This window comes from Homo sapiens, chromosome 6, assembly GCF_000001405.40.
Source record: "Homo sapiens chromosome 6, GRCh38.p14 Primary Assembly".
Taxonomy (NCBI): Eukaryota; Metazoa; Chordata; class Mammalia; order Primates; family Hominidae; genus Homo; species Homo sapiens.
Genome location: NC_000006.12, coordinates 129,684,703 through 129,711,437, shown reverse-complemented (window position 1 = coordinate 129,711,437; position 26,735 = coordinate 129,684,703). Strand labels below are relative to the sequence as shown.

The following is a 26,735-nucleotide window of genomic DNA, read 5'->3' as shown; positions in this document are numbered from 1 at the left end:
TGGGCAACACAGTGAGACCCTCCCTCTCCACAAAGCATAAAAAAATTAGCTGGGCGTGGTAGTGCATGCCTGTGGTCTTAGCTATTGGGGAGGCTGAGGCTGGAGGATTTCTTGAGCCTGGGAGGTTGAGGCTGCAGTGAGTTACAATCACCACTGTACTCCAGCCTGGGTGACAGAGTGAGACCCTGATTCAAAAACAAACCAAAAAAGTGATTTTTTTTTTTGGAGGGGAGATGGGGAGAAAGAACAGAGCTGTCTTTTGTGTTTATGATAATTTTGATCTTGTTTCTTAATCTGCAAAACAAAGAAGAGCATACTGGTGAAAAATAAAAGGAATGTAGCCTAGAATTCTGTTCAAATCCAGCTTCTGGCACTAGCAACTGTGTTATCTTAGTGAAGTTACTTAACTCGTCCCTCAGCCTTACTTTCCTTGTGTTATGTATAACACAGATGATAGTGATACCTATCTTGTACGGTGTGTGTGTGTGTGTGAGAGAGAGAGAATTGAATGGAATGAGATAATACATGTGAAACCCCCGTCCATGAGAGCTTGGCATATAGTAGGTGCTCAACAAATGGCAGGGACTTCTCTTGTTCTCAGCAATAACACTTAACAGAGCATTGGTAGGTCTATCCCTTTTTGGTGCTGAAAAATATTTTGCTAAAACAAGACGTATATTTGAGATTGGCTTTATGTGAAAGACGACGACATTCCAGGACACACAATTTTTATGAGGGCATTTTTAACCGGACACAAGGATCAAGCCTTTCTCGTCGTCTGGATTGCAGAGTTTTGCCGCGGGTTCGTTGTTTTTTACTATGGCTAATTTTAACGCTGAACATGAAGGGGTTAAGAAATGCCTTTACTCATGTTACATTAAGTAGCAGAAATTATAAGATAGAGGAATTGGGGAGGGAAAAAAAAAAGCCTTGGCAGCAACTCATGGTTTCCTAAGTAAGACGGCTTGTAGTTACAGTGATGAGTTGAATATACGTTCTGGCAGTTTAATCTGATCAGACTAACTTGGGGGTGGGTGCAACCCGTCGCTTCCACCCTTCGCCTCCTTTAACCAAAGCCGCCCAGAGTGCAATTGTCCAGAGTTGAAACCATGCTGTGAGTTGCAGCTTCTAATTGGAGAGGCAGGAAGCCCTTCCCTGGACAGACCCCGCCCCTCCCCGTGTGAATCGCCAGCCTGCGGGGAGGAGCTGGCCAATGCTAATGAGCGAGTTGCCAGGCGAGACAGGAACTTCTTTCCCCTTCTCTGTGTCAGGATCGCAGAAAGTATGTCCCTTCTCTCACCATGAGCTGGCTCTCCAGTTCCCAGGGAGTGGTACTAACAGCCTACCACCCCAGCGGCAAGGACCAGACCGTCGGGAACAGCCATGCAAAGGCAGGGGAGGAAGCCACCTCGAGGTAAGCCTTCGGAAGCTGAAAACAAAACAAAACCCTCTTACCTGCTCCAGGAAGAAAGTGACAGGGAAGTTGGCGTGGGGAGAAGGGAATTCCATCTGCACGTCGAGCCTGAGCTCGTGCAGCAGCAGTAGCAACGTTTGGCGTGATTTTTATGTACTTTTCATCTCACCTAGTCCAAGTCTGAAATAACCCATATGATTACTGGTGAAGACAGAGAAGAAGGAACTGGGGAGAGGGCTATATGGGCTGTCAGACTAGCTATTTAGCAGGTGCATTTGCACATGCTGAAAGATCAAATAGGTCTATCTGAAACACTTCCTTTCCTATGAAATGGAATTCTTGAATGGGCTCAAGGCACTGCCACTGGAACTGTTCGCTGGGAAAGTCTGCCAAAAAGCAGGGAGGCTGTTCACTGTACTGTACAAGCTGTTGTTGTTAGAGTGTTTTTTTTCCCCCCTCTCTTTGCTGAAAGCAAACCTCTTAGGCAAAAAGCCCAAGACACTGGCCTGTGGCAATATGTTTCACATTCTTTTGTGTATGTGGATTTTTTTTCCCCCAGGCTTTCAAAAAGGAGTTTTTGTCAGGAGATAGCACTCTGCTGCTGGAGTGAAATGTGGTTAATGTTAAATCACTTTATAGGCAGAGAGGGCAAATGTTCTATAGACCACTGAGGCGCAAAGGGTACCTTTCTCCCTATCTGTGTACTTTGTTCCATTTTCCAAGGGCTTTTTTTTTTCTTTCTCTCCTTAATGACCTTCTCACTAGCTGAACATTTTTACCTCCATCAAGATATAAATAGTAAATATTGGCCTAGAAGATTGCAAGAAGCAAATACTAACCTAATAGCCTAGAACACTAAATTAGTTATCGGTAAGCACATTTCCTCCTCAATGCTTAATGTGATAATAAAACCTTCTTTGTTCTTATGTGACTTATGCCTGTGCCTTAAGCTGAAATAATGCTGCCTTTCATTTGTTTTAAAATCTCCAAATATGAGGGAGGGAGAAAAATCAAAGGAATGGCTGTAATACTCAGTGTTAGACTCCCAGCTGACGGGAACTGTTTCTCACATAGCATCCACAGTATGTATTTCATTGAATGAATTCATTTCCAAAGATAAAAAAGATTTGGTGCTTGTGCCTTAGCTGTGTTACCATTTCATTTTCCATCATTTTAAATGACTTAATGTTAAATCATTAAATCAAGAGATCTTGAAGTGTTTTCATCCATTTTTCTGTAATGTATTAGTAATCATTAAGCAGTAAAGCAGCCTGCAACACCAACCCCATACCCAGCCATAACTTGGATTCCACATGTCAGTCAAAATTGCCAAAATTATACAAGCTCAGGACATTCTCCGACTTTAGGCTGAATGGCCTGAGGACCTGAGCTGAATCTTGGATCTTGATTGTGAGAATGGAAAGGACCTTAAGGACTGAGTCCTAACCTCTCATTTTCACGTAGGACTCAAACCCCAGGGATTAGTTAAGTTTTTGGAAGGTCTGGAGTTCTAGGCCTTTGTCTGGGGCTGCATCTCCAGTTCTGGAGACTCATTATTCTGTGTTTGCAGTGTGGGTGGCCCATACTTGAGTGGGTTGAGAGAATAAGAGAGGATCAGATCATTCTCTGCCTAGGCTGAAGCAGAACCAAGAGGCACTAAGGTGGCAGGGTGGGCAGCTGCCCACACGGCAAGTGCCCTGTGTGGGGCCACAGCTCCAGGTGAGCTCCTTTGCTGGCTGTCACGTAGCCTGCCCATACCAGACCCAACTTCCCACCACTGAATTAGTTCTAGGGATCGTTCCTGATATTGACCGGAGAAGATGGGAGCCTGGTTTGAGGGCAGGGAGGAAGGAGGGAGTAGGGCTAGTTTTCAATGGCTTTTACCCTTAAGGGCTAACGAATCAGATAAACTTGTTGTTGTTTTGGGAGATACCCTGTTTAGCCTGAAAGGATTGAGATACTGTAATTGCTATGGGGGAGGGGATGGATAGAAGGAAGGAGGATTTGAAGGTGGGATGGGGTCCTCGGTGACCACCTAAGAATGGTGATAGTGGTTTCGGGGCGGTGAACTGGACTTTGGCTTTGGCTTTGGCTGGGTTGGTCAGGTGTTGTTTTAAGCCCTGGGAAGCTGCTCCAAGGTGCAAGGTTGATGGTTGATGCCTATTTAAAGAAGTTCTCCAAAAAGTAAAAACAAAACAAAACTCTTAAAAAGGCTACATTAGGCTGGGTGTGATGGCTCACACCTGTCATCTCAGCACTTTGGGAAGCTGAGGTGGGTGGATTGCTTGAGCTCAGGAGTTAGAGACCAGCCTGGGCAAAAAAAAGACCCCCGCCCCCACAGCTCTACCAAAAATACAAAAAAAAAAAAAAAAACAAGAAACCACAAACAAACTAGAAATGGTAGTGCATGCCCGTGGTCCCAGCTACTCAGGAGGCTGAAGTGTGAGGATCACTTGAGGCTGGTGGAGCAGAGATTGCAGTGAGCTGAGATCACGCCACTGCACTCCAGCCTGGGTGAGGGAGTGAGACCCTGTCTCAAAAAATAAATAAATAAATAAAAAATAAAAGCTAAATTAGATTCTGCATTTCCTCCTACCCATTTAAAAATTATAGAAGATAGCACGGAAGTATAACTTTTCTTATCACAAGATTTTGTCTGTAAGTAATATGTTCTTTGAAATATTTAATCCAATATTTAGTTCATGAGATGAATTCATGTCTTTATAATGCCATTTATACATATGTGTATGACTTAGCGTATTTATTGAAAATTGTTTCCTTTTTTTTTTCGAGATGGAGTTTTGTTCTTGTTGCTCAGGCTGGAGCACAATGGCGCACTCTTGGCTCACCACAACCTCTGCCTCCCAGGTTCAAGCTATTCTCCTGCCTCAGCCTCTATAGTAGCTGGGACCACAGGCATGCACCACCACGCCTGGCTAATTTTGTATTTTTTTTTTTTAGTGGAGTCGGGGTTTCTCCATGTTGGTCAGGCTGGTCTCGAACTCCCGACTTCAGGTGATCTGCCCACCTTGGCCCCCCAAAGTGCTGGGATTACAGGCATGAGCCACTGCGCCCAGCCTGAAAGTGTTTGATTTTTAGCCTAGCCATACCAAGTCTTTTTTTTTTTTTTTTTTTTTTGAGACAGAGTCTTACTCTGTCACCCAGGCTGGAATGCCGTGGCACGATCTGGGCTCACTGCAACCTCCGTCTCCAGGCTCAAGTGATTCTCCTGCTTCAGCCTCCCAAGCAGCTGGGATTACAGGCGAGTGCCACCACCCCTGGCTAATTTTTGTATTTTTAGTAGAGACGGGGTTTCACCATGTTGACCAGGCTGGTCTCGAACTCCTGACCTCAGATGATCTGCCCACCTCATCCTCCCAAAGTGCCGAGATTACAGGCATGAGCCACTGCACCCGGCTCCATGTCCTTTTTTATTACCATTTGGTCTTTTGAAAAGCTGAGATAGTAGGGAATTAATATTTTTGGAAGTAATTTGTTAGCTAAATTTTCTCCATTCCATTATCCCTCTTTATCAGAAAACAGTCATTGAATGTCAGATTAAGGAATTCCTCCCACTCCTGGTTAGAGCCTCTCCCTTTATAGAATCCTGTTTTTCTTTTGTATGTTTCCTCCTCAAAACATGAGGATTTGAAGAAATATGTTAACATTAGTTGTCATGGCCGACTTGTACACAGTTGAATGTTTCCAAAGGAAACCACTTTTTATGAGTAGCTATATTTATAAGACTTTGTTTACTTGTTTTTCAAGCAGGCTTCTTAATATTTAGTTTTGAAAAGAATTTTTTCGAAGAATATTGTGTTTTGTCTATTCTTACTGTTCTCTCTTACCTTCCCATTTTAAGAGAAATGGTTGTTTGCTTTGCATATTTTTTGCTAATATTTTAATATGAATGTCAAGTAACCTTTTTTATTGGGCCTTTTAATTCCTTAGCTAACTGAATGGACTGATGAGTGAGATATTTTTATGCCTTCTCTGAATAAATGTATGGCATTCATCATGTAAGGTCTTGTTGACCCAACTTGCCATTGGTATTGGGTAGGCAGAAACAAGAGGCACTACACAGGGGTGACATAAACCCAGAAACCCTGGGTTCTGGGGCCAACCTGTCTGGGGTCATATCCCAGCTCTCTCATTCATTAGCAGTGTGACCTTGGAGGAGTTATCTCTCTACCCATAAATTGAACTTCATAATATTACTCACCTGATTAAGACAACTGAGTGGGATGACCTCTGTCAAGCCCATAGAAGAGTGTCTGGTTTGTAGCTAGCTGCTACTTTCCTTAATACTAGGTAAAGAAAAGGAAAGAAAGGATTGAGTTTTGCAGGATATAGAATATTCTCCCTTGTTTCAGAAGCGTTTTTCTGAATATTATTTTGTCATGTGTTAAGAAACATGGGCATTATCCATATGCTTAAAAAATGACATATTTGAGAATGAACCATAATGTAAAAGTTTAGGCCTTTGAAGTTTGAAAGACCTTGGAAATATCATCCTGATCCATAGCACCATTTATGATTTGAACTGGTAACAATTGCCTATACCAGGCCTTTCTTGGGGGGTATTGATGGGCATTGAGGTCTGCAAATATTGACTCTATGGCAAGATAGAATGTGGGTGGATCCTCTTTTGGCAGCTGGACTCACTCCTGTCTCCATGCTTCCTTCCTCTGCTTTAAGAACTACTACTGCCCAGCATGCCAAATGGAAGAGGACTATCATCTTTATAAGCTTATCTCAGTTCTTGACTTGTTCATGTCTCACCCATTCCTTGGTTCTGCAAGCATAATCATTCAGTCATTCCACATATAAGAGCTCTCTCTTACTGTGTGTCAGGCAATTGTTTAAATACTGGGGTTGTAATGGGGGGAAATAAACCAGACAAACATCTGGGTGCAGGGAGGGTAGCCTGGAGGGGAAAATAAAGACCTGAGCAGGTGACAGGTGAGCCCCAAAATATCTGGGGGCAAGAATTAGAAGAAGAGTTTTTAAGGCAGATAGTGGGTAGAGAGTGTAGAAGCCATAAGCCTAGATAGAGTAAGTCTGAAACCAAGCACCCAGAGAGCAAAGAGCCCTGCATGACTGCAGGGGTCAGGATAAGGAGGAGGGAGGAAGAAGAAAGCAAGGTGGGAGTTGATAACCTTATAGAACATTTGAGGACTTGAGTTTTTGCTGAAAGTAAGATGGGAAGCCATTGAGGGAGTGGGTTTTGAGCAGTGGAGGAAGAGAGCACATTTAAAAGGTCCCTCTGGCTGTTATATTGATTATAGAGTGTAGAAGCAGTGGTACTGCTTAATAGGTTAAGGCAGTGGTGGTTTGGGCCAGGGTTTCAGTTGTTTTAGTAATGAACGGGGTGAGCAGTGGAATCTTTTGACATTAGGGCCTGTAGGAGATGGACAAATGAGAATACCTGAAGATTCAAGGTTTTTGCCCTAAGAAACTTGTAATGTTAAAGTGATCATTAATTTAGATAGGGAGGACTTGCAGAGGGGCATAAGGGGGCTGGGGTAAGTTGAGCGAGACATGAAGCTCAGTTTTTTTTTGTTTGTTTTTTGTTTTCAGATACTGAGTCTCGCTGTGTCACCCAGGTTGGAGTGCAGTGGGGTCATCTTGGCACACTGCAGCCTCCACCTCCCAGGTTCAAGCGATTCTCATGCCTCAGGCTCCCCAGTAGCTGGGATTACAGGTGCCTGCTACCATGCCTGGCTAATTTTTGTATATTTAGTGAAGATGGGGTTTCACCATGTTGGCCAGGCTGGTCTTGAACTCCTGACCTCAAGTGATCCGCCTGCCTCGCCCTCCCAGAGTGCTAGGATTATAGGTGTGAGCCCTCACGCCTGGCCTGAAGCTCAGTTTTGAGAAATATCTTTTTGAGATAAACATTAAAGTAAGAACATGGCTGGCTGTCTTGATTAGTTCAGTGTTTTTACATGAATCTTCACAGGATTTTAAAAACCTATGTAGTATACCATTTAAAAAGTTTCTTCATTCTGAATTAGTGTATTATTACCTGATCATATATATATATTTTTTTGTTGTTGAAAAAAAGGGATGGTAATGAGTTTTTATAATGCAATTGTGTAATATTTAAATTTTATTTTTTCTAACCTTAGCTTCTAAAGCGTATTTCCTCATTCTAATTTCATAGAATTTAGTGACTAAATGGATTTAAACCTGTCCATGGGGATAATTGTTTTCCAGATCAATCTCTTCTTCAATTTCATGACATAAGAGTCCTTTGTAAAGGCATTTTCTTCACTGTGGTTTAAAAACCCTATCCATAGTTTCTTCTTGAATTATTAGAGGTTGCACCCGGTGTCCAACTGGGGAAGTCTTAGGTTCATTCACAGACATGTGATATTTGCCTTTTGATTCCTCTCATTGACGAGACCTGTGATTTTTGTGGGCCTATTAAAGTTATATTATCTTCATAGAACTTTTAATTAAGTTTATGCCTTTCGAATATAAGGATTTAGAGATTATCAGAACCATCCCCACCCACACCTTCCTAGAGAAACTTGTTGAACATTTGCTTTGTTGTCCACGGCACATTTATTACTTCTGCATTGTACGATTGCACTGTGCTGCCTTGTCTCTTCTAAGTGGGGCTTGCTTTCATATTTTATGAATTTTCTAATATTTTGAGTTCTGTTATTATTTATCATACTTCTACAAGTGTTGAAGCAATAAAGACTCGTAACAATTGATGCATTTAATGATGCACATGATTGCTACTGGACTGCATGGGTGTTAGGCTTAACTCGTTTTTGATAATTGGACTCATTGCCAGAACAAATTATCTGTTTCACTCTTCTGTTTTAATTCCCCACTGGCTGTAAACATCTGTCTCACAAATTAGAAAAAGAACCCAGCACCCTAGAGGCCAAGGCTGTCCCTGGCCACAGGGATAGTTCCCTCTACTCCTTGCTCATGAATCTGTGAGGTCCATGCCCTGTGGCTGTCTTCTTTCTCCTGCCTCTTTTTCTTCTTCTTTTTTTTTTTGTTTTGGAGATGGAGTCTCGCTCTGTCACCAGGCTGCAGTGCATGGCGCAATCTCGGCTCACTGCAATTTCTGTCTCCTGGGTTGAAGCAATTCTCCTGCCTTAGCTTCCCCAGTAGCTGGGATTACAGGCGTGCGCCACCACACCCGTCTAATTTTTGTGTTTTCAGTAGAGACGGGGTTTTGCCATGTTGGCCAGGCTGGTCTCGAACTCCTGACCTCAGGTGATCCACCCGCCTAGGCCTCCCAAAGTGCTGGGATTACAGGCGTGAGCCACTGTGCCTGGCCCTCCTGCCTCTTCTTGATTCTGTTCTGTCCAAGAGCCCTGAGAAAGCTCTGTCATCATCCTAGTGGTGTCACTGTGATGAGGCCTGTAGGCTGTGGGTCTCAGTGGGAGTCACTAACAGCATGGATCACTCTGTAGGTTTGGGGTTGCTAGACCAGGTATGACAACAATCCTCTCCTGAACCCTGCTGTAGGTGCCCTCTGTCCTGTGCCCACCCTTTCATTTCATACGAATATTTTGAGAGAGATGGTTTGTTCTAAATGTTTTATTCAGTTGATATTTAATGGGCTTTTCTATTTTCTTTCGATAAAAAAGGGATAGAGAATAAGAACTCTCATTATTTGAGGAGAGTGGGGATGAGTCAGGGTATTGGGCATGGATTAGGGCAGGAGGAACGGAAGGGATGTCTAGATCTTTCTGAAGGCACATTCTTTTGACTTCCATGTTTGTTGCTGTGAGCTGGCCAAGTTTATCCTTTTTTTTGCAAGAAATAAACAGAAACCATGGAGACCCGTGTGACCAGTTACTACCTGTAGTTTTTTTCCATACTTAAGTCCACTAAGTATCTGAATTTCTGTGTTGAAAGAGAGTATGAAACCTCATCTCCTTTTCATATGCATTTGGTAGTTGCCTTTTGGCTGCAAAGAACACTGAGGTTTCCTTATGGGAAATGAGGTTTGTTACAGGGATCTGGGTCATAGGGAAAGGAGGCATCTCTTCTTCCCTCAGCAGCTGGTCATATGGGGACACTCATGGCATTTCTGTTCTCTTGGAGACTCTCAATTCTTTTCTACCCACTGGCTTTCTAATCTCATCATTTCAGCTTGAGCTTTTGGCTCCTGATGGATGCCCAGCCTGGTTACCTCCTGAGTCATCTTACATTTCATAGCTAACTGACCCATCTCTTTATTTCCTAATTTCAGTTTTTTGTTTTTTGTTTTTTTTTATTTGAGATGGAATCTCGCTCTGTCACCCAGGCTGGAGTGCAGTGGCATGATCTCAGCCCACTGCAACCTCCACCTCCCAGGTTCAAGTGATTCTCCTGCCTCAGCCTCCTGAGTAGCTGAGATTACAGGCACCTGCCACTACGCCTGGCTAATTTTTGTATTTTTAGTAGAGATGGGGTTTCACCATGTTAGTCAGGCTGTTCTCGAACTCCTGACCTCACGATCTGCCCACCTCAGCCTCCCAAAGTGTGGGGATTATAGGCGTGAGCCACCGCGCCCGGCCTTAATTTCACATTTTTGAAAGGACATCAGATTTTTCCAGTTAATCTTTTTGAACAGGCCATAGTACAACCCCAGGCAGCTTATGATCTGGCTTGTTCTGGATCTTTTTAGAAAAGCAGGGTCTGTGGGTAGTGAGATTCCTGGACAAAGGATGTGGCATCTTTGCTAAGATATTTAGGACATGACACATTTATCTGTTTCCTCATTTATGAAATCATATCGTGTAATGATGCCCTTCCTGCTTCGCAAAGTTAATCATGAAGATCAAATGTGTAACGTTTGAGAATGTTAAAAAATTATGCAGATGAACATTATTACTAAATCCTTTTCTGTACAGTATCTTAAAATTTCCCCAGACATTTCACTTCATTTCACTTAACCAGAGTTGTCATAGTAAACTTTTGAGTTTAATTTGAATTTTACTTTTTTATTATATACTCAGATGTAAGTTCATTGAGGGTGAGAACTTTGCCTGTCTTTTTTTTTTTTTTAAGGGAGGGGTGTTCCTTTATACCTAAGCCTTGGCAAAGTGCTTAGTTCACTTTAGGTAGTTACTAAAAGATTGAATGAATGAATGAGTGTAAGTGGGAGGAGGCGTAGTGATTGCATACACAGATTTTGGAGCTAGATTGCCTGGGTTGAAGTCCTGCTTCTTTCATGTAGCAGCTTGTGACTCTGGGCTATTTAATGTTTCAGGGCCTCAATTTTTTTGTTTCCTTCTGCACACTGGGAATAATAATACCTAACTCAAGACTTATTTTAAGGATTGACTGAGTCAACATATGTAACATACTTACATGAGTGCTTGACATAAAGTACGTGTTTTCGATGATGATAAAGGGCAGTCAGACTGTTACCTGTTGGTGAATTAATTTGGAAATAGTATAGGAAAGCATTGTTGTGATTAATTTGTAAGTCATTTGGGAAATGAATGTTTGCTTCTAATGCATATGCAGTATAATGCCTTTATTTTAAAACTAATAGTGGGATAAGTTATATAAATAGCTCACATTATTTCAATACTACATTTAATATCCAAAAAGTACCCTAAAAAAGTGTTTAAAGGTATTGAACTCTTGTTAGGCCCAGGTGACTGTTTTGAATACCTTTAATGCTTCAGTTTGGGTAGCTATAAAGTTGCAGAGTGTTTGTTACTCTTAATAAGATGGAAAATCATCTAGTGTAGAGCAAGGAAAAGTTATTTGCACCTGTTCCTCAAAGAGCAAATTGACTTTAGGTTATCTCAATACTTGCAGGTAAAAGTACCAATGTATCATTATAGCTAAGTATTTGAGAAAAGAATAATTGTTATACATTTGTGCCCTTAAAATTTATTTATATAAAACAGCTGTTCTTGATTAGGCTGTTCTCATAACCAAGAAGTGATGTTTCATGGGGCAGAGTTCAGCTGAATGTATATCTGTGGCAGAGATCTGGGGGATGTGTTCCCTTCACCCAGTTCTTCTTAAGCTCTGTGCCCCATCTCCTTCCCATTTAGTACAAAAATTTGAAAACTGTACTGTTAGTCTTTCTCCTCATCTATAGAATACATAATAAACTTGCTTACATGCTCCAGGCTGTAGGCTAGGAAGCTATGTCCTCCTAGTCAGTTCTCCAGTTCCTCCCTACACTTGCATTTCAAGTTCTTATCAACACAGTAGTTCCTGCTTACAAAAGGCTCATAAAAGCAGGCTGCTTTGCTTCCACCTCTAAGAGACTGGGGACTTTTTTGGTGGGTGTGGACGTAACTAGCGAAAGGATGAAGTAGAGGGGAGGATAGAGCTGTATGCAATTAGAAATGCAGAAGCCATTTTTCCTAGGGGAGAAATAGCAAAAATGATATTTAAATTCCATGGAGATATTCATTCTATAATTCTACCATATTATGGATTAATTTCTTTTTACTAGCCAGAAAACTTAAAACAGCATTTATTTGTAGCACCATTGCTGTAGGAAAATGGATTCCAAGTTCCCAACTACAGGTTTGGAAATAAACTTTTCCAACCCAAATAAAATCTTCAACTAAGTTGGGGGTTTCTGTTGTTTCTTTGTTGCCTCTCCAGACTTTTGTGATCTGAGATGTAAAAGTTCTGATTTTTTTCTGCTTCTAGTTTTATCTTACTTTAGTACAATGTCCTTCCCCAGGCACCTGGGAGCTTTGTATACTCCAATAAATATGCCTTTGTCTCCTAAACATGTGCCTGTCTTCTATTAGGGATTATGTACTTGTCTACATTTGTCATTGATTTGGGAGTATTTAGGAAGGTGGAAAATGACATACATTCTTGTGACTTTAGATGAATCAGATTATAGCTGTATAATGTAATTAATTTAGTAAAGTAAGAAGTGCTTCGGCTGGGTGTGGTGGCTCATGCCTGTGAATCCCAGCACTTTGGGAGGCCGAGGTTGGTGGATTGCAAGGTCAGGAGTTCGAGACCAGCCTGGCCAATATGGTGAAACCCTATCTCTACTAAAAATACAAAAATTAGCCAGGCCTTAGGCCGGGCGTGTGGCTCATGCCTGTAATCCCAGCACTTTGGGATGCCAAGGTGGGTGGATCACCTGAGGTCAGTGATTCAAGACCAGCCTGGCCAACGTGGCGAAACCCCGTCTCTACTAAAAATAAAAAAATTAGTCTGGCATGGTGGTGCATGCCTGTAATCCCAGCTACTCGGGAGGCTGAGGCAGGAGAATTACTTGAACCCATTAGGCGGAGGTTGCAGTGAGCCGAGATTGCCATTGCACTCCAGCTTGGGTGACAAGAACAAAACTCCGTCTCAAAAAAAAAAAAAAAAAAAACTGGGCGTGGTGGTACACGCTACTCGGGAGGCTGAGGCAGGAGAATGGCTTGAACCCTGAAATGGAGGTTGCAGTTAGCCAAGATCTCGTTACTGCACTCCAGCCTGGGTGAAAGAGCAAGACTACGTTCCCCTCCCAACCCAAAAAAAAAAAAAAAAGTGCTTTAACACCATGCTGCTATAAAATTAGAATTCTGTAGAAAAATCTTGCAATTCACACTAACAAGAATTTTGAAATTTTGGTGGTTTGGCTGTAGAGATCTGGCTTATTTCTGAATGCTAATGACTGTCAGATACCATCTATATTTGAGGAAAATAATAGGAATTATTGATTGAACAGCATAAAATTAAAATCATATTTAGAGATTTGGGTAACTCAGAAAGGCTTTAAGGACATGTAAACATGGGATATCTTAAATTTTAAATTATTTTTTGAAAATGAATACATGTTTAAACAACAGTGAAGGTCTTTGCTAGGTACAAATGATAAGCCTAGAAAAAAATAAGTGTACAAATTCCTGCTCTGAAGGAGTTTGCAGTGCATCTCAATTGGGTTCTAAAACAACTTTTTTAGTATCATATTTAGGAAGTCTTGCATGGTTCTTTCTTTTGAGGAATAAAACTTTCAAAGAATTTGTAGTTGAGTAATTGAGATTAAGTTTGAGTAAGAAAAGGTAAGTTGGTAACTGAAAGTTGAAAGCAACTCAGGCTATTTATAGGTGGGCTAGAAACATGTAACTCGATCAACGTATTCTATAATTAATGTTTTTACTAAGGTTACTAAGTGTGTGCCTGTTATTTCTCATTGTCCAAATAATACAAAGTTATGGTATATCATCTGATGGAATATTTTTAGGTGAACTTAGGAATAAATGTATATAGTGTCTTTTTTAAAGATAAATTATTGGTTGTTAATTTTTTATTTATTATTGAAAATGGGGATGTATTTTAATGTTTCCAGACTGAATTTCTTTGGAATTACAGCATTTCTGAATTATTTTCTATTATAGTGTAATCACACAGTGTCATCACACTGGATATATTTAGGCAATTGTATAAGTGCATTATTAATCCTTTGTCTCCTGTTATTTTCTTAGAACAAGGTTTATTTACAGAAGAATCAATAGAGGCCTGACAGGTAGTAAATGAATGAAGTGGATGACTAGAAATTGCAGGCCTCAGAAAAATGTGGGTTTTGGTAGAAAATGTTAGCTAGAATTTCCAAAATACTGACTAAAAAAAAAAAAAAATCCCATCTGCAGGATGGATCTGACCCAGGCACTACCAGTGTGTGACCCCTATCCTGAAGGAGAAGGTGGTGGTTTCAGTTGTCTGTTTCTGTGAAACATACCATTCCAAAACTTAGGGGCTAAAAATACCAGTTTTCTTTTCTGATTCTGGAGGATCACAATCAAGTTCTTTCTTGGGCTTTATCATGCAAGATGGGGTCGTCAGAGCCTTCTTCATGTACACCTTTGTTTGGCACTTGTGCTGGTTGGTTATCTCCTGCATTTCTCCTCCTGCATTTTCTGGATGGCTTGGGCTCCCTGAGAGTACAGCAGTAGCCAGGTAATCAGACTTCTGACATTCTTGCAGGTTTACCCCAGAGCGAGGATTTCGAGAAGTCCAGGAGGAAGCTACCAGGCTTCTCATGACCTCAGAAGTTACTCATTGTCACTTGGCTGTGTTCTATTGGCCAATTAATCATAGGCCAACCTAGATTCGAGAGGATGGAGGAATAGGATACACTTCTCAATGAGGGAATGGCTTGCACACAGAGGGAGGGGAAGGAGTTGATTGTGGTTATCTTTGGTGAAAAGCTACCCAGATGTCATTCTAGTCTCTTTGTATCTGGCCTTACCTGCCTTTCCTGATCTTCTTGCTTGCTTCTCTTATACAGAATCCCCTTACCCTGGAGCTTGACTTTAAAATCTCCATCTGTATATAAATGCGTATCCTATGTGCATTTATCTCTTAGCCTTGCTTTGTTGGTAACTTTATATTGGATAATCTTTTCGTTCATCACGAACATAAATGCCTCATGCAGGGGCCCGGTATTATTCTTTATCCTAAGCACTATATAGATTCAATTCCCCATATATAATAGAACTCAACAATATTTGTGAATTGATTGATACTTGATATTTTCGAAGGATTGGGTATTTATTGTTTGCAGGACACTTTATTATACAGTCTTTTTTTCCCCTGCTAAAAATTATGCTTGATTCTCAAAAATGTTTTCCAAAAAGTATGTAAATTTAGATTTTAGACACAAATGCCAGTTTGAATTTGGGAAGAATAGAGTACTGAGAAACGAGACACTCTTTTAAAGTACCTAACAGGGTCTATAGGAAGTTCTTGTGAAATGTTAGTTAGCTATTATTCTGTGTAGTGTAATAAATTAAGCTGCTGCCTTCATTTGTTGGCAGCCAAGTTGCCAAAGGCCCTTGTTTGTTTACATCCAGTGATATTTACTCTAAGGGACTATGGGACACAGATGCAGTATTTTAGAGTACTATTTTTTTGAGATCACATGTTACCTGTGAAAAACATCCCAGAGGCTATACAAAAATTAATTGCCAGTATTTAAGTTACTTGGTTTTTCTAATCCCAGTACAGTAGTTACATTTAGCAGTCATCTAATAACTGTTATCATTGAGACTTCACATACTTAAATAGCATCAGTGTAGGATTTCCTTTCTTTCTTTTTTAGAAACTTTCACCTCACTATACTTATTACTAAAATCTATTTGCTTTTTGCCACACTTCAAAGAAAGGGAGAGGATACGTGACTAGGAAGCCCTCTGAGCTGTAGGTGGGTGGGGCGGGTGGTGGACAATGTTTTTCCCTTAAATGAGGGAACTTTCTTTTAACAGTACTTTCAGATAAGAACACGTTTATATTTCTTTAAAATACTTTGTATCTTCAGCTTAGGACTGCCACTGTTTTTGTGGGGACTTAATGCATAAATTTAAATCATTTGTCTGTAGAAATGATGGGATGCTTTGTCAGATCACTGAATTGCTAAGATTTTAGTGTAATTTAGGGAAATAAACCTTCACTAATTTTCCCATCCCCTATGTTATAGATTGAAAATTGTGTCATCTCCATTTTGCAGGGAGAGGAAAAAGACTAATCCCCTTTTAAACTTAGCTTGAAGCCTGAGGCTTGAAGGCAAAGTCCAGGGTAGCAGCTCTTAAAATGAAAGGCCCATTCTTATAGCTATTTACACATCTCAGGAGAGACTAATACTTTGTTAATCCACTTAAAGCAAAATTTCTTCCATAAATTGGGTTTAGATCCCTGTTTCAAAATTGTGTGTTGGACACTGTTAACAGGTGTTCCATTAAAAAGAGTTTTGTGGTTCAATATTTGGTGTAAACAAAGTTTACTGCAGTTAGCAAGCGATGAGTTTCTGGGAAAAAAAAATAGTTTACTGCAGGACTTCTTGTAACATATAATATCCTGGTGAATATTTTGAATCTCTAAAAGAGAGATGCAGAGACTTTGTAGCAAGTAGCATATTCCAAATTTTTTTTGACCTAGAAGCCATTATTTTTTTTTTCAGAATAGTTATTACCATTGTTCCAGGGAGCACAATTTGTGAAATTCCCAAACATGGCTGTCGCTTTATATGTAGAAAAATGTTAAAAATTGTACATTTTGGAATTAGTCAGATATTTTAGGCTTTTTTGTAATAGTCGCAGTTGTTAATTTTTTGTAGCTGTCTTTCTTGTGCTTGCTACCATATGCTTTACAGATATTGACAAGCTTTGCAGAATCTCCACCTTGGTGAATGTATTTCCATAGTAAGAATATTTCTTTTTAATACTTAAGCTTCATAGAACACAAGTCTTTCAGCAAAACATTTTTTACTTAATATCTTCTATAGAGAAAATTAATATTTATGTCTTCAAACCCAATAAAACATTTTAACCTAAATGTGGGGGAAATATCTCAAGTGACATGTTGAAAACAATACACAGTGTCAGCTAAGAGGATATATGCCACTGTCACTGCCTAGAAGCAACTCATAATCTTACTAACTGGTCTTCAGTTAATAGCATTTTAAGCGTTTTGTATTCCAACATGATAGTTTCTTTATTCGACATGGGAGTTTTGTTGTGTATGTTTTAGAAACTGGTTGAGTATCTTGGTAGATGTGTTACAAGTTTTTCCACTTAAAAGTGGCACAGTTTCAGTGTTTTCTTGCAGAAAATTGATTTTTAGGTAAGGATCACTGCCACTGAGTTGGAGAGGCTATCTTACCTCATTTAATCCTCATAGCAACCCATTCAGGCTGGTGGTATTATCCTCATTTTACTGATGATGAAACAGAAGCACAGAGGTAAAGTAACTTGCCCAAGGTCACACTGCTATTGGCACGGCTGAGATTTAGACCTAGGCAATTTGTTGTCAGGGTCTTTACCAATGTGCCATTCAGAAAAATTATTTTGTTTCTATCTTTTGTGAACCGAATGCTATTTCTTCAAGTGTATACAGAGCAAGTTAAAAGTACAAGGGAATGTTTGCCTGTCTGGTAGTTTGTGTTTGTTTTTGTAATAAAAGCTCTACTCCCTTTGGTATTTGGAGAAAGTTATGCCAGTCTGGATTCTAGGCAATTCACTGGTAGTAAAATAGGTACTTTGGGAAATCACCTTAACTGCTTTCAGGCGCCAAGATGCTATTTACTACAATGAAGTAGTAAATACTTCTACAAAATTCTGCCATTTAGTAAATAATTTTGTGCCGCCTTGACGTCGACTGGCATTTCATGGTCAGCTGTTCGTATAACTGGGGCAAATTGTATCATCACAGAAAAGAAAAATATATATTGAGCACTCTCTAATTCTAAGTACTTTAAGATGGAATTTGTTTAATCCTCATAAGATGAGAATTATTATCCTCATCTTAAAACTCAGGTACATGAAATAACTGGTCCCAGATGACATGACCTGTATGTAGATCAGCTTTGGTTTGAACCTCAGTCATTTTCATTGTACTGAGAGGTGTACAGTCAGTGCAGTTATTGTTTTTCTCTCTTCAGTGTGCCTGTGTCTGAGTGGCAGTGGGGCCTCAGTTCACAGGGAGGACATTTTCTATGGCAGGCTGTGGTCTGGCTCTTCCTAGCAGCATTTGGGGTGGGCCATGGCTGTAGTGGGGGCCACAGGAACCAAGGGGGAGGTAAGAATTCCTGTAGATAGAGCAGAAGAGAAAGCCCTAGGCTGGGGCCTTCTTCTCTCCCCATTAGTAATCATTTGAAAACTGGAAACTCCATAGATGCATTAAAAGTCTTCCGGAACCAGCATGACACAGAAACAAGATATGCTTTGAGAACACCACTGCCACCACCACCATCACTGCTGGCATTAATGGTTGTATTTTTCTTTAGAAGATGAAGAATCAGATCTTCTTAACCTTAGAAATAGTATAGTAAGATGACTGTGAGTCTCCTTATCTCCAGGTCTTCCCCAACAATCTAGATTGTTTCAGTACCCTTGCTGTTGCATGAGAACTTTCCACTGAAATCCAAGTGACAATTCTCTTTGGGTGTGAAACAGCTTGGAGTTCTCACAGTTACCGATGAACAGCTCTTTTTCATGTAGTAAAGCCATTTATATATTTCAGGGGGACAGAAGGACATTAAAGTCTTGGCCTACCACAGACCCAAAGGTTCTAAAATAAAATGACCTATTTGGTGGTTCAAAAGTGCCTTTGATTAAATTACTGGATATTTGAGAAGGTGATGAATGAGGGCTGGCTGGTGGGAGAGAATATACTTGTAATAATCTTTTAGTCATGGATCTTTTTCATAGCATGTGGATTTTCTTGGTTTATAAATATTAGCCAAGTGATCAACTCACTGCAGCTCTTTGAGGAGCTTCTCCATTTTTAGGCGAAGTAATTTGAAAGTTCTCAGGAAGCCAAAGGTACGGGGATTGCCTTATTCTTGGTCCTAAACCTAGACCTGTTTTATAAATAGATGATTTCCAGGCCAAGGTGTCCCTGTATGACATGTTCCCATAAATGTCCTGCTGCCACAAATTACAAATCTTGGCAAAAATAGAATTCTGTGTCCACTCAAACTGTTGCTGCTTTCCTAGGATGCCATCCCATGCTGCCTTTTCCCTGTAGAGTTCTGTGGGTGATGTCTGTATGTTTTTGTCTGTATGCTTTCATATTTATCCCCTAAAATTCTGTGCCTGTTTAACCACCTTGACATGATATCATTTCTCCGTACCCAGGCAAATGGTTTGTATGGAGGGATCTTCCAAAGTCAGCCAACCTAGTGCAGGGAGGACAAGGAGAGGGAAGGAAAATATGAATGAACTCTGTGTTACTGGGGACCCAGGCATGATGGAATATTCTTGAGAAAAGGGTCTGCTCAGGCGAGCTTAACTCCCTGGACAGCCTGCCTTTGAGGAGAGGAAAGGAAGGAAGCATGCATTTTGTAAAGAGTAAAACATTTCACAAGATACTGAAAACAAAATCCACAGAAATGCCCAGGCTGCCCAGCCTTTGACTTAGGCCAGTAGGCCCAGAGGTTGTCATTCAAAGAAAGAGGGGGTCTTTGGGTTTCAGGGCCAGGAACAGAAAAATGGGCAGGGGCCTGGAAGAGGAGAACAATTATGGAAGGAAAGGGCAGTTGCTCCTCCTCTGTCACTTTGCAGAGGTGCTGGCTGTGTCAGTGCTGAGGAAGCCCCAGGCCAAGCCCAGGTGGCCCCTGAGAGGATACTGCCTGAGGCACTCCTGGCAATGGAGGTGGCTTGCAAGAACAGCCAAGGACTGGAGAAGCCAGTGTGGGCTGAGCAGGAACGGGGATGTCAGATGCATGGACATAGCACTTCCTGGAGCACATGGCTGCAGGGAGGAGTAGATGTTGCCCCTCAGAAGCCTTTTGGGAACCAGAAAACAGATTGGGCAGTGGGTGGGTGAGGACTTCCACAATTATGTGAATGTAGTATCAGCCAGAGACCTTTTGTTTATTGCCATTGTTGGGTAGTTCACACCTCCGAGATTATGCTTCCTGGTTAGGTGGCCCGAGAAGCACTTGTTTAGGTATACTTTTAAAAAATTTTAATTGATAGCGCTCGAATACAGAATGTCACTTACAAAACTTTGTTCTGTGAACCCTTGGCCAGTAAGTTTTAACGCTTAGAGAGAGCCACTCTTCAAATTTCTACCTGAAATCGTAATAATCTAAGCATCTTGAAGAAATGATTGGAAGTGAATTTTATTAGGAAAAAACTGCTTACTCAGCAAAATGTTAAAGTGCACAGAATTCTTTTTAGATTAAGATAGATCTTTCCATGGAGATGCTAAAGCATTTCTGCATGATTCAATATTTTCCCACCCCCGAGTACTAGTTTTCTTTTTCTGTAAGTGGAGTTCTCTAGGCTTCTAAGGGCCCCATGCTGGTGAGAACTGGGGCCAAAGTCTGTGTAGTCTTTATCAAGGCATAAGGTTAGGGAAAGTGTGTGTTTATGTTGGAGGTGACTGTTTGGGGGTCATTCACTTCCTTCCTTCCCCCATAAACATACTACCTGCTTCTTCCCCATCTCATTTGTATTAGTGGACTAAATTAATGATTGAATAACCAGTTGAATTGTGAGGATTTTGTGCAATAATATTACATGCATTGTATTACTCAAAGGATCAGCTTATATTGAGCCCAATATATAAATTATTGAGATGCAAAACAATTGTTATGGGGTGATTTTGCATTCGAGTAGCATTTAAAAAATACAATTCAAAGGTAGTTTGTATTGAATAAGTAATGATAGCATTGAAATGAATTTTCAATTTCAAAGATTTTAAGAAAATCTTTGAAAGCATATAAATTTTGCTTTATTCAGATGTTGTGAAATATTGTGAATATTTGAAATTGTGAAAGCATATAAAATTTATTTGGTCTCACATGAATCTTCTAGATTGTGACATACGTTATTAAGCTGGTGAAATTATAGTATGAAATGTTTTTCTTTTCACGGGGAGGAATATGAAATGCTAGAAATCTATATATGCTGTATTATTGATATGTATCCTCTAATCCTGAATATCTTCAAAGTGAATATTTATAGTATTTAATATTTTATTTGCATTACATATTGGGAAAAAGTAAATGAAATATTATTTGTTTGAAAATGAACCTTATCTATAGATTCTAAAATTGTACTTGTGAGTAATGTAGACAATCAACTCTCTTTAGTCTCTGAATTGTTATGTTTTATTGTATTTGCAACATGAATCATTTTGCATTTGGAGAAGTTATATGTTGTATGTAATAATTGATGACTTGAGATGAGGGTAATAATCTACCACTTTTGTTTAAGCCACATCAGATATTAATTGTCACTATCTTAAGCATAGCATTTGTAGGTTTCTCTCTGATAAACATATATTTAGTTCAGCAGTGGTTTTATTCATTTTTGTGAACGGTTACACTTTAGGCACTGCATGTATGTGAAGATAATATAAGTATTATGAATACATTGTTGGTGCATTTTTACTTACAGTTTCCATACAAATCATTACACACACACCACATACACACACACACACACACACGTTTACATGGGCAGAACATTTATGTTGATTTTGTAATGAATAAAACATTATAAACGGACTGTTTGGCCAAAGTGCTTATATGTCTGCTTATTAACATAAGATTAACATAAGACTCATAATTTAAATAGATGTAATTACTTAAAAATGAATCAGCCTTCTTTAGAAATTAGATGACAAGTTTACTTACATGGCCAAACCTCTTTGTAGTTTTGGAATTCAGAATGGAAATTTGAAGGCTGGATGCCAGGAGTGTGGGAGGTACACAAAGAATCGTTTTTCCAGGAATGCTGTTTTCCAGGTTTCTGTGAAAAGCAAATGCGTGCCTTTTCTGAGTGATGAAATAGAGGAACAGAAAGGTGTCAATATATATGTATTCTGCTTACACACTCACAAGGATTCCTGCAATTATGCTGAAAGGGCATTTTAATGCGAACCTATAATGTTTAAGTGGATTCTTATTCCTGTATTCTTGAGGAAAGTACTCTGGTGAAGTTTTCAAATTCACAGCAATGTATGCCTGTTTCTCCTTCTTGGGGTAGTTAAAAAACAATACATGCCCATTTCAGCACTTTGGGAGGCTGAGGTGGGCAGATCATTTGAGGCTAGGAGTTGGAGACCAGCTTGGCCAACATGGTGAAACCCTGTCTCTACCAAAAATACAAAAATTAGCCGTTCATGAAGGTGCATGCCCATAATCCAAGCTACTCTGGAGGTGGAGGCAGGAGAGTTGCTTGACCCGGGAGGCAGAGATTGCAGTGAGCCGAGATCACGCTACTGCACTCTAGCTTGGGTGACAGAGTGAGACTTAGTCTCAAAAAAGACAAAAAACAAAACCATCCAAGCAACCAAAAAAATAATACATGCTGGTTTCTCTTATCCTCATGTGAGAGGGAAATCAGAGCTTCTCAGCTGTCAGGTTTCTCCTTGGTGTCTTTCAGGCTGGAGACTGGTAAGTTTGTTCCCAAATGCCTGACAAGGCCTCAGAGATGATCATTAGTGGCAGCACCCATTTATTCCTCCAGAAATTTCAGATTTGCTCCCTTGATTCTGCTTGTTTAATAAATTCCAGACAAAGAAGAGTAATAGCACATACGTTTTGCATGCTAAAGAATTACTTAGAATTTGCCTCTTGTTGGCTCTGTGACATTGAGATTCTCAAGGAGACAGGAAGAAAATAGAAGTTTTTATATTAGACAATAGTTAGATGCAGTGCTCTTAGCATCAGTCTATTGAATCTCCAAAATATGGAATCATTGTCACTGGTAGCAGCTATATTTGGATTTCATTAGCCAGTGTAGTAGCTACCAATGATAAGGCATATTTTTTTTTTTTGACTTGGAGTTTCATTCTTGTTGCCCAGGCTGGAGGGCAATGGTGCGATCTCGGCTCACTGCAACCTCTGCCTCTTGGGTTCAAGTGATTCTCCTGCCTAAGCCTCCCAAGTAGCTGGGATTACAGGCATGTGCCACCATGCTTGGCTAATTTTGTACTTTTAGTAGAGACAGAATTTCACCATGTTGGTCAGGCTGGTCTTGAACTCCTGACCTCAGGTGATCCACCCGCCTCGGCCTCCCAAAGTGCTGGGACTACAGGCATGAGCCACGGCACCCAGCTGATAAGACGTGTTTTTTAAAAACTGTGCTGTGGTAACTCCTTGGAGTTTGTTAACAGGTGCTTTATGTACTATCCCATGTTTTCTACTAAGGATGATAAGCACTGTCATATCTGTGTTACAGGACTGGAAGTTATAATTATTATAATGTTACATCATTTTTAAACCTTGCTATAGGTGTTTACAGAAGAATGACGTCTTACATCCAACTAAGAAGATCAGAGAAAGTTTCAGGTTTCATCTTGCTGGAGCAGTTGGATAGGATTGGGTTTTAGGGGAAAAAGGTAAATACATTCTGAAGAGAGAGAAGTTTGGAAGGGAGCTGATATGTAAGGATGCTGACGTGGCTCTTGGGGAGGAGAAGAAAAGACTGGAACGAGAGGTTGAGGCCACTTTGTGGAAAGTCTTAAAGGTCAATCTTGACTGAAGAATTGGGATTTCTTTTCATCCATGTCTGCTTGTGAACTGCCCACTCTTCAGAATACCCAATTGCTCCATCATGGATCACTGGGTCTACTGAACTGGAACTGTTCTGATGGATTGACACTGTAGTGGGAAGAGGGAGCTCTCGATGACGAGATGGCATGGTTTTGTATCTCAGATCTACCCTTATTGGTTAACTGACCGTGGGTGAGTTACAAAACATCTCTGTGCCTCAGTGGTGTTGTGAAGATTTAAGTGAGCTAAAGCACACAGGCCCACTGGAAATAACTTAAAAAAAAATGTTTGGTTACTATTGAACTTCTTATGCTATCTGAGACAGTTACCTCCTCTGTCGTGTCATGAACATAGTTTTCAATAAGTATGTGGAAGAATCTAGAGATATTGTGATGAGAGAGGGAGATGGTCAACACAGGTTAAGGTGTGGGTTAGAGGAAAGAATGGCACCTTGTATGAATTGTTGCCACTTCCTGTCTGAAGCCTGCTTTCCTAGAGCAAAGATCCTCTCCTATTTCCTTCACTTGTTCTGGGAAGAGAATGAAGGTGCGTCCTCAGTACAGCCCTGCTTTGATAGGGTTTGAGCCTGAGCCCAGGTGTCCTGATGAGTCCTGCTTGGTGCCTGAGGAAGAAGAAAAGGGTTGTTGTGGTTTGTCAGCCCCAGACAGGCAGGAAACGCTTTCTTAACACTATGTGGGTGAGGTTTCAGCTATATGCTGTGTCAGTAGATCCTCAGACTCTTGGCATTTCCAAACATTTGTAGTTTCTGGCATTTGCAGTAATTTGGAATGTTGGAAACTGGTAACTTACAACTTCTCTGAGACCCGTGAACTAGAGTTGCAAGTCCTAAAGGTGGGGTGCATAGAAACTGGTCCCTGCATACCTGTTCAACATCTGTAGCCAACTGTCATCTCAAAGGGATGAAACTGTGCTTGCAAAGAATGGTTTTATGGCCAGGCGCAGTGACTCACGCCTGTAATCCCAGAGCTTTCGGAGGCTGAGTTGTGTGAATAACCTGAGGTTAGGAGTTTGAGACTAGCCTGGCCAACATGGTGAAACCTCGTCTCTACAAAAATACAAAAAAAAAAAAAAAAAAGAAAAAAAAAAGAAAAAAAAATTAGCCAGGTGTGGTGGCCGGTGCCTGTAATCCCAACTACTCCGGAGGCTGAGGCAGGAGGATCGCTTGAACCTAGGAGGTGGAGGTTGCAGTGATCCGAGATCGCGCCATTGCACACCGGCCTGGGCCACGAGAGCGAGACTCCATCTCAAAAAAAAAAAAAAAAAAAGGTTTTATTAGGGAGGGAATTCAGTGAAAGATGACGGGATGACTCCCCTGACTCCTGAAAAATATATCAATCTGGAGAAAGACAAATCCATATAACTTATAACTTGTAACACTTAAACACTTCTATAGTTGCAAATCTGAGGATTCTGGAAGTTCAGCCCATATTTCTCTGGAATATCCAGGTGGGTGGCTTTCTCAGTATCCTAGGGAAGAGACTGAACTTTGAAGAAGTCGGTGCCCTGTGAGGAGCCAAGGCAGCTCTGGGTAAGCGTCTGGTCTTTGCCAGCTTACCTGCGCAGGGAACCTCTATCCTCATATCTTACTGGTGGAGTGGTAGGCTGGAGGCTCCTCTGATTGGTGAGATTTGGAGGTGAGGTAAGCTTTCAGATGCTCCCTGAACATCACTTGTAGAATGTGCAGAGAGTCTTATGGGAATGGCTGGGAAGGCAAGCTCACTAGGAGATGAGCAGCCCAGCCTGTAGGGGACAGTGCAAAGGAGAAAGTGGCTGAGGAACACAGGGCAGCCATGGTAGGAGGGTTTGGGAGCGTGGGAGTTCATATTTTACACTATGTTGGTACTTACCATGCAAATGAACGGCCCTGCTGGGAAAAGAACCTTTATCCAGAGAGGGGATCCGAGGAAATAGTAAGAGTTGGGTTCCGAGAAGCTGTGCTGCATCACGGGAGAGCTCGGTGTTAGGGTCTTTTGCAAAAACCCAAATTTATTTAATTTTCCTTTAGCACAGACTTTTCCTTTTCTTTTCTGATTTTTCTGCCCCTCCGCCCGCCCCCGGCAATGTAAGGGCTGAAGAAGCATTTTTCTTTTACAGTGGGGTCAACTTGCTTTTGATTTTGAAAGTTGTTGCCAACATACAGGCAGGGTTGTTGCAAAAAGACTTCTTCGTTTCCTAGAGGAGGGCTTGAGTAGGGAGAAAACCATCTGGACTTCTCACTTCTGGGAACTCAAGTATTAACTAAATTCATTTTTGTGTGTAGATCAGAGGGGAAAATAAGAGGAAGTGGGAGAGGAAAAAAAAAAGCTGCCTTGTATTTTTGAATATGGAAAAAACTATCAAGTGATCACCGTGATCAGCACATTTAATGGTTGCATTTAAGTCTGAATAGAATTTTTGAGAAGGCTGGGCTTTTTTGACATCTCTTTTTAATGAAAAATATGTAACAATAACCTTTATACAGTACCTTCAATTTGCCTGGTATTGTGTGCTTTATAATATCCTATATTTGAATATTGACTCATTTATATTTCACAATTTTTTTTTTTTAGACGGAGTCTTGCTCTGTTGGCCCAGGGTGGAGTGCAGTGGTGTGATCTCAGCTCACTGCAACCCCTGGCTCCCAGGTTTAAGTGATTCTCCTAGCTCAGCCTCCCAAGTAGCTGGGATTACAGGTGCCTGCCACCATGCCTGGCTAATTTTTGCATTTTTAGTAGAGATGAGTTTTTACCATGTTGGCCAGGCTGGTCTTGAACTCTTGACCTCAATTGATCCGCCCACCTCGGTCTCCCAAAGTACTGGGATTACACATGTGAGCCACTGTGCCCAGCCCTATATTTCATGATTCTATGAGAGTAGGTATAGTTATGGTCTCTATTTTATAGTTGGGGAAACCGAGGCCCAAAAGTGAAGAAAACTTGCTCAAGGTGACATGCTAGGAATGTGGTGGAGCTGCTTTGAAACCCTGGCAGCCTGGTTCCAGAGGCTGTCCTGTTAATTACTACGCTGTGTCCAGTGTCCACCGCCGGAGTCTGAGAAAGCAGTAATGACGTTTCTCTATTTCAGTGACCTTGCATATTGGATTTGCCCAGTTTACTTTGGAAGTACCCATTCCACTTTTCTAGGATCATGAAACACTGTATTTAATACTCAAATATCTTAGTGCTGATATCTTCTCTGATTCTAGAGGGCATTTCACAGATCTTACTGAAAAATTCCTTGGGGTAGTATTAGGCTTCGGGTTAAGTAATTTATTTATTAGACAAATTTCTTGGCTTTCATGATTTGGGTAAAGTATGGTCAATCTGTGTACTTCTGATTATATGCTAAACACGTGAAAGTCACCAGATGGCC

General features: G+C 40.8%; 1 protein-coding gene across 1 annotated transcript in view, besides 3 other annotated features; it reads left to right on the top strand.

The window, feature by feature from the left end:
• Window positions 908-987: a silencer, noted in NCBI's record as "silent region_17534". NCBI's record gives its function as "represses an Ori minimal core promoter by ATAC-STARR-seq in GM12878 lymphoblastoid cells {active_cell/tissue: GM12878}" and the evidence as "EXISTENCE:reporter gene assay evidence [ECO:0000049][PMID:35858748]".
• ARHGAP18 (Rho GTPase activating protein 18) overlaps window positions 1,261-26,735 on the top strand; it is a 134,046-nt gene continuing 108,571 nt past the window's right edge. The window contains exon 1 of the mRNA NM_033515.3: window positions 1,261-1,414. Within this exon, the coding sequence (NP_277050.2) occupies window positions 1,302-1,414 (113 nt within the window). The 5' untranslated portion in view covers window positions 1,261-1,301. The remainder of the gene's footprint in view (window positions 1,415-26,735) is intronic.
• Window positions 6,664-6,723: an enhancer, noted in NCBI's record as "active region_25048". NCBI's record gives its function as "activates an Ori minimal core promoter by ATAC-STARR-seq in GM12878 lymphoblastoid cells {active_cell/tissue: GM12878}" and the evidence as "EXISTENCE:reporter gene assay evidence [ECO:0000049][PMID:35858748]".
• Window positions 6,744-6,823: an enhancer, noted in NCBI's record as "active region_25047". NCBI's record gives its function as "activates an Ori minimal core promoter by ATAC-STARR-seq in GM12878 lymphoblastoid cells {active_cell/tissue: GM12878}" and the evidence as "EXISTENCE:reporter gene assay evidence [ECO:0000049][PMID:35858748]".